This window comes from Homo sapiens, chromosome 9, assembly GCF_000001405.40.
Source record: "Homo sapiens chromosome 9, GRCh38.p14 Primary Assembly".
Taxonomy (NCBI): domain Eukaryota; kingdom Metazoa; phylum Chordata; class Mammalia; order Primates; family Hominidae; genus Homo; species Homo sapiens.
In genome coordinates this window covers 70,130,589-70,143,857 of record NC_000009.12, presented here as the reverse complement: position 1 = coordinate 70,143,857, position 13,269 = coordinate 70,130,589, and the positions used below count along the sequence as shown (strand labels likewise).

General features: G+C 40.2%; 1 protein-coding gene across 3 annotated transcripts in view; it reads right to left on the bottom strand.

Moving 5' to 3' along the window:
- Positions 1–13,269, bottom strand: part of MAMDC2 (MAM domain containing 2) — a 183,392-nt gene that overhangs the window by 83,115 nt on the left and 87,008 nt on the right. For all 3 annotated transcript variants that reach the window (NR_125850.1, NM_153267.5, NM_001347990.2), the window contains exons 7-9: positions 12,246–12,339; positions 3,570–3,713; positions 39–304 (exon numbers count right to left, since the gene is read on the bottom strand). Coding sequence is in view for 2 of the 3 variants with exons in the window: in NM_153267.5 (NP_694999.3) it covers positions 39–304; positions 3,570–3,713; positions 12,246–12,339 (504 nt within the window). In the remaining variant the exon portion in view is untranslated. The remainder of the gene's footprint in view (positions 1–38; positions 305–3,569; positions 3,714–12,245; positions 12,340–13,269) is intronic.

The following is a 13,269-nucleotide window of genomic DNA, read 5'->3' as shown; positions in this document are numbered from 1 at the left end:
ACTGAACATGGACACAGGAGAAATTGGCTCTGCTGTACCTTGGTAGGCATGGGCTTCTTAAAGGTGATTTCAGCTTGCATCCAAACACCCCTTGGGGACTCCAACACAGACCAGATCTTCTCTTGAACCACATGGTTCTCTTCAAAGATGTAAACTGCTAGGGTGTCACTCATTTTTAAAAATCCATAGATGGCATAATGAAAACGCAGACAATACTGCAAGTTTCCTGGTAGGGAGGGCCCATAGAGCCTTCCAATGTAGCCAGGCTGAGATGTGAACTTTGTGTTGGCTAGCAGGTAATACCCTGCAAAGAAGATAAAGCATATCAGCAATGCAAAATAATCTAATCTAGATTAGCAAGTGGTAAAATATGATTAAAGTAGAACTAGACAGCAAAGACTATCAGCTATGCTTTAAATGATAGAAAGCATTTTCTAATGTCTGTGGCTTAAGTGACAGAAAATATCCATGTGCCTCTATTGAAATGATACCTCATTCAATTCTAAGTAAACTTTATAAACCAGTACAGATTTTCTATAGAATATGCCCAGATTCCAGTCATTAATTAGGATTTACACTTTTCATGAAACAAAAAGGATGAAGTCATCTTGGAGATACCAGCTGCCTGGGTCAACCATCTGACTTAGATTGTACATTCCGAGGACTGAACCATAGTGAATGGAAGGCCCAGAGCAGATTCTTCCTTATTATCTCCTTAGTGACCGATAGAGATGGTGGGATTTCAGGCTGGCCTGGCAGTCTTTGTGGAAGTTTGTGTGTCTGGGCAGAGCCTACTCCTCTCTTGGTCAAATGTTAAACCTGCCCTTGAAGAGCAGGTTTTTCATCAGATGGATCCTCCCAGGTGCTAAAGATCTATGTTCTTCCTTTATTCCTCCTAAACAACATAAAGAAAAATAAGATCAGGAACCTCCCCCTCCCACCATCCCCATGGTCAATTTAAAATGAGTTTGTGTATCCTGGAAAGCCTGGGCAGAAAAGAAAAAAATAATAACACCTTATTTTTTCTCTTTCTTTTTTCTGCTCCTCCTCCTGTCAGTTTTCTTTTGGGTGCCTCAGTCTTTGTATACAGTTTAGTTTTACCCAGTTATTTAACTCAAAAGAAGAGAAAGACATGCCAGAGCTCTCTATGCCTCCATACACCAAGAGGACATATGAGGACACAGGATAAGGTGGCCATCTGCAAGCCAGGAAAAGACCCCTCACCAGAAACCACCCTGATGGCACCTTGATTTTGAACTCACAGCCTCCAGAACTGTGAGGAAATAATGTCTGTTGTTTAAGCCACCCAGTCTGTGGTATTTTCTTATGGCTGCCTGAGCAGACTATTATGGATGGCCATACAACAGCCAGAAAAACCTTTTTGAAACCTCAGTTTCATCTGTGTTTTTTCTGCTTAAAACCTCTCAGTGGCTTCTCATGTCCTCTATAATAAAATTCCAAATGCTTCCTGTGGCCTGCCACACCCAGAATCTATCTCCCTCTCTGACATCATTTTCCTCCATTCTCCTCGTCACCATTCCTCCCCACGGTGCAGCCATACAGACCTTCCTATTCTGTGGTGTGACCAGCTCTTTCCAAATTCGAGGCCTTCACAGATGTTGTTCCCTCTGCCTGGGTCACTCCCACTCTCCCAGCTAATGGCAGCTTCCCTCAGAGAAAATTTCCCTGAATCCTGAACCCAAATTAGATTCTTCCCTCTATTCTGTCTCAGAGCTCACTCTTCATTTCTTTCTACTGTGAAAGAAGGGGATCAGAACATGCCACCCCAAACTATGTCACTTTGGCATTTTGATTATTTTGAGGTAAAGTCACTTGAGAAATAGCAGAGGCAGGAAGGATCCTTTGACCTCCCCTTTTCTATTATACTTAAAAGCAGGTCATAAAATTTCCTGTGAACAAGGTGTTCTCCCTGTCCCAGAAAGGGAGGAACATTCTGTCCCTAAAGACTGGGAGTTGACACCAAAATGGATCTGTACAAACAAACCTACTAACATAACCCTCATCTTCCATTGTTTCCTCCATATATTTCCTAGTCACTTTCCCACAATTTACTGCCCCTGGAAACTTAAGCCCCCTGACCCTTTTTTGTCTTGCTACTTCTCCGCAATTTTATCATCCTTTGTTTAAAATGGTGTTGAAGCTCTCAGGCCTATCTGCTTCTTTGGGTCTTCATTGTTTTTATGAAGGCTCCCAAGTGCAAGTCAAAATATTAAATAAAATTTGTATTTTTTTCTTGTTAATCTGTCTTACATCACTTTAATTCTCAGGTCCAAACATGGACCCCAAGAGGGTAGAGGAAAAGTTTTTCCTCCCTGACAGCACTTACCACAACCTGTGCTTATAAGTTTGTTTGCGTATATATTTGTCTAATGTTTCTCTTGCCCTTTGAAAAGATTGTCTGCCAGTGAAGGTGGGATTCATTTCAGATTCGTTCACTATTGTATTCCCCAGGAGTTAATCTGCTTGAATGTTTTATTACTTTGAAAATTGACAAACTGAGAGTATGGTGAGTCTTTTTGTCCCTAAACAGTTCCCCGTTTCATCAGTTCACTGCTCCCAGAATTCAAATGGTTCTCTAGAGATGATTTTCCAGTTAATCAGCCCAAGGTCAGAATAGATTTGGTAGGGCCTTTATTTCTACAGGTTAGGCAACCTCTAAGAAAAGAATACAAAATTACAAGCACAAAATTGTGAGGGCTCTTTCAAGGCCTTTCTCAGGCTGGTAGAAGGCAGGGGCCCTGGAACCTAAGCTTCACCAGCTCCACGGTAAACTCACCTCAGTCTCCAGTATATAAATATGTGTTGAGTAAGTGAATGAGACACTGAACTCCTAGAGATCAAGCTCTTCACACTTGTCTCCACTGGGTTGGGCTCCACAAAGGCTGTCATTGAATTAATAGGTAATCCCTACACAAGGAGCACTCAGACTCCTGTTTCAAAAAGCTCCTTGTAAATATATCCATCAAGTGTCCACTCAACATTTTTTAATAGCTTTTCCCCTCAGAATAGATTTTTTAAATTATAGTAAAATATACATGGTATAAAATTTACCATTTATCCATTTGAAAGTGCACAATTCAGCGGCATTTTGAGCATTCACAATGCTGTGCAGCCATCACCACTATGTAGTTCCAGATCATTTTCATCACCCAAAGGCAACCCCATACTTAAACACTCTTATTCCCTCTGCCACGGCCCCTGGCAACCACTGAAATCTGCTTTTTATCTGTAGGAATATGTCTCTTCTGGAGATTTCGTATAAATACAATTCAACAGATTTTTTTTCCTTAAAGGTATTGCATCTAAAGTGAGTTCCAAAATATTTTACAAGGATTTGCCTGTTTAATTAACTAGCAAATATGTTTGTTAACACGGCAACTTGAATTCCAATTTTTAAAAATGGTCAAACACAAGACTACTGATTGTCTTTGCTTCTTCACAGCTGCCTTTTTTCTTTAAGTCGATGTCTTTGCAGGTGTGAAGTAGGAATGGCCAATAAAGCTCACGACTACCCAAGATGTCCCCACATAGACAGATCTCTGATTTACCTAAGCCTGTAGTGTGGTCTCCAGCCCGATACATGTTTGGTTTTACTTTCACTCGGGTCCAACCTGGACCTTCTTTATCTTGGTAAAAGTTGCAGAGATCTTGCTCAAAATTGCAGCTGGCTTCCACGGCACTGAACAGAAGTTCTGAGCAAAGGACAAGCAAAGTTAATGACAGTCCCAAAGATCTCAAAGGACTACATCAACTGGTTGACAGATATTTATATATACACATTTGTACCAGGGGAGACCGAAGAAGTAAAACACAACTAAATATCTTTATCCAAAGGGCATGCTGACAGGTTAGAATCAAACCAACATTTCAACATGACAGGAAAATTGTTCTTTTCCTTTCTAAAGGGAGGGGAGAAAGGAGCACTGTTCACATTATAAAAATGAAGTACCCGACTTCAAAAGAAATTTCCTCCCATGGAAATGCAAATCAAAACCACAATGAGATACCATCTCACACCAGTTAGAATGGCGATCATTAAAAAGTCAGGAAACAACAGGTGCTGGAGAGGATGTGGAGAAACAGGAACACTTTTACACTGTTGGTAGGACTGTAAACTAGTTCAACCATTGTGGAAGTCAGTGTGGCGATTCCTCAGGGATCTAGAACTAGAATTACCAATTGACTCAGCCATCCCATTACTGGGTATATACCCAAAGGACTATAAATCATGCTGCTATAAAGACACATCACACGTATGTTTATTGCGGCACTATTCACAATAGCAAAGACTTGGAACCAACCCCAAATGTCCAACAATGATAGACTGGATTAAGAAAATGTGGCACATATACACCATGGAATACTATGCAGCCATAAAAAATGATGAGTTCATGTCCTTTGTAGGGACATGGATGAAATTGGAAATCATCATTCTCAGTAAACTATCGCAAGGACAAAAACCAAACACCGCATGTTCTCACTCATAGGTGGGAATTGAACAATGAGAACACATGGACACAGGAAGGGGAACATCACACTCTGGGGACTGTTGTGGGGTGGGGGGAGGGGGGAGGGATAGCATTAGGAGATATACCTAATGCTAAATGACGAGTTAATGGGTGCAGCACACCAGCATGGCACATGTATACATATGTAACTAACCTGCACATTGTGCACATGTACCCTAAAACTTAAAGTATAATAATAATAATAATAAATAAATAAAAAGAAATTTCCTGTCATGACTGTGAATGTTTATTCATATACTTCTTCACAATTCACAATTCATTCATAAAAATTTTAAAAGAAAAAAGAGAAAAGGAAGAGATTTTATGGGACTCAATCTGTCTCTAAGATGAAGATTTTAGATATAATATTTTATAGAAACAATTTTCCTTTGTTGCTCAATCTCTGTGTCAGAAGCACAGCTGATGTCTACTTTGACATCAGTAGTAGGAGCTGATCTGCTTGAAGAAAGTCATCACTCAGTTTAAATTGTGCAGGTCAAAGAGTCACAGTTCTGTCATGGGTACTGCTATTGCTTTGACTTTGCCGAGTTCTGGTATTATTTACCCTGTTCTATAAATACCTCACCCCAGATGGCCTGGAGGTAACATAAAAGATTTCTGCTCTTTGAGAAGACATACAAATGGCCAACAGGTATATAAAAAAAATGTTCAACATCACTAATCAGCAGAGAAATGCAAATTAAAACTACACGATATCATCTTAGTCAGAATGGCTATTATTAAAAAGACAAAAATTAACAGATGTTGGTGAGGATGTGGAGAAAAGGGAACTCTTATACAATGTTAGTGAGAATGTAAACTAGCACAGCCACTATGGAAAACAGTGTGGAGATTTCTCAAAAAAATGAAAATAGAACTGCCATTTGATCCAGCAATCCCATTACTGGGTATCTAGTCAAAGGCAAAGAAATCAATATATCAAAAAGATGATGCACTTGTATGTTTATCTTAGCACTATTAACAGTAGCAAAGATAAGGAAACAACCTCAGTGCCCATCAGCGGATGACTGAATAAAGAAAGTATCATATGTACATACAAACTGGAATACTATTCATCCATAAAAACAATGAAATTATGTCTTTTGCAGCAACATGGTTGGAATTGGAGGTCATTATCTTAGGTGAAACAAGTCAGACACAGAAACACAAATACTACATGCTCTCACTCATAAGTGGGAGCTAAATAATGTGTACACACTGATACAGAGAGTGGAATGATAGGCGGTGGAGACTTAGAAGGGTGAGGGAGTAGGAGGGGGTATGGAAGGTAAGAAATTACTTAATGGGTACAATGTATGTTACGCCAGGATGGATACCCTAAAATCCTCACTTAACACTATGCAATCTATGCCTGTAACAAAACTGTATTTGTACCACATACATTTATACAAATAAAATGCTTCTGCTCTTTTGAGAATAACTTTTAATCCTATCAACAATTGGCTTGTAAATCACACTGTTCAGATTGCCCTCTTAGAACAGAGGGGATGTGACTGTAGCAGTTGGGATACAGTCGGTGCAGCCAAGTGTGATTCTTGTCTGAATGCTGACATACACGTCTAACAATCTAGGGAGAGAGGACATGTGTTGAATAACTGGAAAATTATCTCTAGGGAAACATTTGGGCTCTAGGAGCAGTGAGCCGATGAAACAGCTCACTATAAAAACTTACTATATTCTCAATTTGTCAATTTCCAAAGCAAGAAAACATTCAGGTGGGTTGAGGAACTGACCCAGATTAAAGTGGATGAAAGAGGCATGACAATCAAATGCTACCAGGGATGCAAGATTCAATCTTGGTCCAGAAGAACACATATCTATAAAGGTTGTTATTGGGGCAATTGGAAACATTGGTGTATGGACCGAAAGTAAGTTGATAATGTTGTATCAGTATTAAATTTCCTGAACTCCGTAATTATCCTATAGTTATGCTGAAGAATGTGTTTGATTATAAAATACACACTAAAATATTTAATGGTAAAGGGGCATGATGTTTGCAACCTATTCTTAAATGGTAGATAAAGCAAACATGGCAAAATCTTAATTTGTAGAGCTGGGTGAAAAGTATATAGGAGTTCTTTGTAGTTTTCCTGCAGATTTTGTCTGAGTTTGAAATGATAGAAAATTAAAGAGCTCCAAGAAAATTAAATTTTAAAAAGTAACTGATTAACAACACATTACAAAAAAAAAGATTAGGTAAAAAGTGTTCCTATATAACTAGAACCTGATTGTATCTCAGGGGATATACCCTAGGAAGTGCACCAGGAGCAAACCCAGATGAGCCAGACTGGAGAAGAGGAAATGAAGAGAATTCTCAATGCTCTAAGATGGGTAGATTAGCCCACACCCTGGTCTGCCTGATTCTGTCAGCACCAGGGTATATCTTTAAGCCCTGAAGATAAAGTCTGTGAAAAATGAACAAGATGTTACATGAACAAGGATCCTTTGACATTCTCCCATGGATATTTGAGACCACAGGAAACCCCATTAAAGTATTCAGTATTAGTCACCCCTCTGCTACTGGGTAATAAAAAAACAAATAAAAATCCCAAATCTACAGAGGGCCATCTAACTCAGGAAATGGGGTGGCACTGCCAAGTGCCATGCACGAAAACAGTAGGTCAGTGAATTCCTCATCAGGAATGAATCTTCCCCCTTCCTCCTTTTTTTTCATTCTTTGTCCCAGCTAGAGAGGGGAGAAGAAGAAATGAATCTTAAAGCAGTGCTCTTGGGCGACTGCAAGAGAATCTTAACTCAGTTATTAGATGTGTGGGAGGGGGTGGAAGGTGGCATAAAAACGTGAAAGTTTACAGAAGTTTTATTCATAAGCACCAAAACTTGAAAGCAACCAAGCTATGTCCTTCAGTAGGTGAGTAGATACATAAACTGTGGTACATCCAGACAACTAAATATCACTCAGCGCTAAGAAGAAATGAGCTATCAAGCCGCAAAATGATACGGAGTAAACTTAAATACATATTACAAAGTGCAGGAAGCCAGTCTGAAAAGGCTACATACTCTATGATTCCAACTATGTGACATTCTTGAAAAGGCAAAACTATGGGGACAGTAAAAAGAACAGTAATTGCCACGGGTTTGGGGGAAGGAGAGGTGAATAGGCAAAACATAGAGAGTTTTTTGTTTGCTTTTTGTTTTTGAGAAAGGGTCCCACTTTGTGGTCCAGGCTGGAGTGCACTGGTGCAATCTTGGCTCACTGTAGCCTCTGCCTCCTGGGTTCAACCTATCCTCCTCCTTTAGCCTCCTAAGAAGCTGGGACCATAGGCATGCACCACCATGCCTGGCTAATTTTTGTATTTTTTGTAGAGACAGGGTTTCACCATGTTGCCCAGGCTGGTCTACAACTCCTAGGCTCAAGCAATCCACCCTCCTTTGCCTCCCAAAGTGCTGGGATTACAGGTGTGCACTACCATGCCTGGCCTGGATATAGAGGGGGTTTTTAGGGCAATGAAAATGTATGATACTACAATGGTGGATACATGTCATTATACATTTGTCCAAATCCATACAGTATACAATACCACGAGTGAACCTTAATCTAAACTATGGACTCTGGGGACAGTGATGTATATGAAGGCACAGGGACTATGAGAGACCTCTGTATCTTCCTCTCAATTTTGCTGTGAACCTAAAACTACACTAAAAAATAATGCCTATCAAAAAAAGCTTAAAAGTAAGCCAGGATCACTTCTCTCCATGGTGATAGACTGAGTCATACAGAAAATATTTTTCTGATGATGGGATTATAATATTTTGCTAATGAATAGATTTGAAATGGATTTTCCTGGGGTCTTGAGGAGGTCTGATAAAAAAAAATCTCAAAAGCATAACTCAGGGGCTAAATCTTTTTCACCTAGAGTGCTGCTTCTACCCTGAGACAGTGTCTGATTCCTGAAGATGGGGCCAGAGGCCTGTCTGTGACCTGAGTGGGTGCAGAGGCTTTGCTTCAAGCTTGTTTCAGAGGTGTTAGTAAAGGGCAGATCACAAATTTAGCTGCTGGGAAGTGCAATGATGTATTTGAAGCATAGGGAGGAATCAGAGGCAGTTGGAAGCCTCTGAGCATCTGTTGATGATCAAGAAAAAAAGAAAAAAGAACTAAAGCCCCTTTAAGCAACTTACCAAAAAGCATCATAATGTAAGGTTTAGTTAATTACTTGCTTTCTGACATTTGAACTTTTAAGAAATGAGAAGCTTTGAAGATAATCTAATTAGCGGGAGTGTGTTGCAGTTTGAGAGTAGTTGGAAACATTTCTCATCGTTTCCTCTGCTCCCTGGAGTTCACGGAGAGAAACTCAACATCGGTCCCACAGACTAAAAGGCTCATCAGCCCCTAGAGTACTAAAAGATAGATACTGGGGGCAGTGTGTTCTCTACACTGCTAACCTTGCAGGGTAGTTTTACTCTAGCATGTGCCAGCCCAAAAGCAGGCTGAGACAGCTCAAAGCTGGCTTGGGTAGGAGAGGCAGTGGGACCTGGCACCACACTGAAGACCAATGGGGAAACAAGGGCCAGAGTCACCGACTAGGCTGTGGAGACCCTTGGGGGCACTTAAGATAAGAAAGGCTGGGGCAACCTTAGCTGTAGCCTAGGCAGTAATTGGGCCTGGGTTTCCAAACAGACAGGAGGTTGGGGCAATGTGTTGTCAGTGAATGGCCAATATTGGGATTTAGGTAGTGATTCTCTGAGAGGCGTTCCCATGAGTGTTAGGATATACCCAGTCACTGGGTGTGGGGTGGACCCAAGCCCAGAAAGGAGATTGGGTCTGCATATGGCAGAGCAGTAGAGCTCTCAGTTTGAGGCTGGGCTTTATGGCAGGATTCTAGAAGTGAATGGGATCACCTCTTAGGCATTCAAAGATTTACAGACCAAAAGGAAGGCTTGCTCCCATCTTCTAAACTTTGGGACAGATGTGGTTGTGCAGGGGGAGAGTGAGGGGGCAAAGGGATGGAGAAGGAAGTGGGGGATGGTCTCACGGTCCTCTGGAAGCACCGGGTGTGGGGGGCAGTTCATTGGAGGGCCACATGACATTGCTGTTGAGTACCTGTGACTATGAGATGGGTCTCAGGTCCGGGAGACTGGATTAACTCTAAACGCAACCAGATGGTGGGAACAAGATGCTGTGTATGTTGATATGATTCCTGTCTTAGCCTATTAGGGAGATGAGGGAAGAAAATGCTAGGTCCAGCTGGGAAAAGCAGAGACAAGAAGTCTGGAGTTAACCAAGTTAAGGAAAAAATGTTGGCACCTGTTATGAAACAGAAGGGCATAAACTATTTGTGAAATGTAAGATGAAGTATGAAAATTAAAAGGCTCAGCTTCTAAAGACTCAGTCTGGCCCACAGCTGCTCAATGAAAGACATAAAGCAGGCTCCAGCTGACACAATCATCAAGCTAGTGCCCTTTGCTGGTTCTCTTTAGTTGCAATCTGACCCACTGTTCTCCAGGGATGGGTGGTCATATTTTGAAAATAAAGTAAATAATACTGTCTCATGATGAAGCATTTTCTGTGTACCATACTCTGTGCTAAGGCCTTCACAGACATTAACTCATTAACTTTCCCAACAAGTCTATGAAACAGCTTCTTCCGTCTTTGCTATAGATGTGGAAAGAGTCTCAAAGAAGTTAAATAACATGACCCATGCCAGATAGCTTGGAAGTGGCAGAATAGGGATGTGAATCCACATTCCTGGTGGATTGAGCATAACACTACGATGATGCAATTAAACCATTTAAAGCCAAGCTGGCATAGTGGGAAGTTCTGAAGATCAGTATGGAGACTTGGTTAACCGAACTGTATAAGAACTCATATCTGCGGAAGTTCCTGCACAGAAGGAGTCTGTGCTTTGCAGACTGAGGGATCAACAGCCCTCTTAACACATGGTCCTTGTTTTGCTGGAACGTTTCTTTTCCTTTCACCAGACAGACCACCTGTGTAGTAGGAAAGAGCTCACACAAATTCTCTTTTTTTCAAAAGGAGGAGCATTTCTGAACATTACTTGTGGGTGATTCAGTTGGTTCTGTTACTTCCAGCTGCCTCTTCACCCACCCTCTGCCCAGCGCAGATATTAGATAAACACCTCTTCTACCATAGACAAAACAAGGGAATATAAATTTCAGCGTCACTGCCTAGTGATAGAAAAAAGATTTTGTCTAAAAATAATGATAAAGAGATTATAAAATTACTATGAATGTAATTGAAATATCAACTGATAGGATTAGGGAGGAATCAAATGTAGAGAAGTAAAACAATGTTGGTTTCTGTGTTCTGTCAAATTTAGAGACTCTTTTAATCTTTGATTATTGTTTGGATTAAATCATTAAAAAGTATGTAAATCTAATCTGGTTCTATCTGTTTTACAACCTTTTAAAAGATTAGAATTAGGAAAAATAGTATTCAATTTCAGCAAATTAGTAGATTGCTGTCTAGTTTTGGGGTAACAGTTTAGCTCAAGTTGAAAATATTTTTCCATGTAAACTGTGGCTCACACCTGTAATGCCAGCACTTTGGGAGGACAAAGTGGGAGGATCCCTTGAGCTCAAGAGTTCAAGACCAGCCTGGACAACATAGTGAGACCTCATCTCTACTAAAATAAAAACCAAAAAAACTAGCCAGTCTCAGCTGCCCAGAAGGCTGAGACAGGAATATCACTTGAGGCCACGAGTTTGAGGCTGTGGTGAGCTGTGACTGCACCACTGCACTCTAGCCTGGGTGACAGAGCGAGACCCCCCAATTCCCCTTCCCAAAAAAAAAAAAAAAATTTCTTAGTCCCCCGATTTGCAGAATGTATCTGAAATCATATTAAATTACAAACCAACTCTATCTTGAGTGAAAGACCTCAAACGCCAAGTTCATAAATTACTTTCCATGCTACATAACCAAGAATAAGGGCTCACTAATAAGGCGGGGTGACCATAATGTCTCCCTTGGTCTCTCAAGGAAACAAATTCACTAAACAGTAAGGTCAATTTTATTTATCTGGGTTATCATTACTATATTATTATCCTTCTTATTATAAAACATTTGCTTTCTAATTCACTTTGAATCAATTTGCTTACCTATTTTTCCAGAGAGTAAAAATAATCCTCTCATTTTAAACATCAAATTTATGAAATCTCAAAACTGATCATGATAAAATAATTTGAGGGTTCATCCTGGAAGTGGAAAGTAATTTAATTAAGAGCACATGCTATTTAGCTAAAACTATCTAGAGATGTCTACCAAATACTAACGTCTTTAAACATGAGGCCATTTATAAATTTTGGATACATACAGTTGGAAAGCGTTTTTAAAATATATTATTCTATTCAGTAGATTGTGAGAGCTTTGTCCATCTACCCAGCCACCCATTTATGGGCCCAAGATATCCTCTAAAGAGAAAGATGGAGTGAGTGTGTGAGAATAAGTTAGTATTATTTAATTTTCTTTTCCTGGAAAGGAAAGATGAAACCTTCCTAAGATAGGACAACTGGCTGATGGTGTCAGAAACATTAGATTCCCTCTGTGAGGGAGGAAAAGAGAGTAATATTCCAGAAAAATGACCTTTGATTAAATAATTTTTTAAGGATGACAGAAGGGGAAAGATATGAAAATTAAAAGCAATTAAAACAAGTTCTGACCACAAACATCTATTGAAACAGGAACATCCCAAAATGCAATGACAAATAGAGAATGCTCACCTGTCTGATTCTGGCAGTGAACAGGAGAGAATGAAATATCATCCAGGGCAACATAACCTCCCTTGGGACCATTGAAAGCAACTTCAAAAATAACCTGCAGAGGAAAATGGCATGCTGTCACATGTTCACATATTTTCGGTTTGGCTTAAGTGCTCTTAATGATTTAAAATGACATGTCAATCAAACCAGATGAAGCCAAGTTACAAGGACTCATGGAATCAGATTTCCAAATATGAGTTTGGGCAGCACCCTCCTCAACCTACAGTCTCTTTTTGGGAGAATGAAACTGCTATGATCTGAGTGTCTGTGGGACACTCACAAATTCTCAAAAGTCATACGTTGACATATGAACCCCTAAGGGAATGGTAATAGAAGGTGGGGCTTTTTGGGAGGTGATTAGGTTTTGGAATGGGATTGGTACCCTTATAAGTGAGGTCCAAGGGAGCTCATTTGCCCCTTCTGGAATTTGCGGACACAATGAGTAGGTGCCATATGGACCAGGAAACAGGCCCTCAGCAGACGCCAGATCTGCCAATACTTTGATCTAGGACTTCCCAGACTTCAGGACTGTAAGAAATACATTTCTGTTGTTTATAAATTACCTAGTTTATGGTATTTTGTTATAGCAGCCTGAATGAACCAAGACAGAGTCTCTAAAGTTGCCTTTTATTGATGGATATGCCCCTCTTCCTTGAATGTCAGCTGAAGTGCCTATGTCATTTCTGCTAGAACTACAGAACTAATTAGCATTATGAACTTCAATTAAAGGAAAAATCAGCTAAGAAAGTAGGCCAGGTTTTTTTTTGTTTTTTTGTTTTGTTTTGTTTTGTTTTGTTTTTTTACCTCCCTGCCATCCCTCAGGAGCAAACACCCTCTAAGTTCCTTTACTTCTTCCTATATGAACTCTACATCAAGGCCTGGACAAAGATGCAGCAGTCAGAGGTGAGAACCCCGATCTCAGCATGTCCAGGTATGTTCCAATGGTTAGAAAGAACATGGGCCAATGACTTCAACCCCTTTAGTT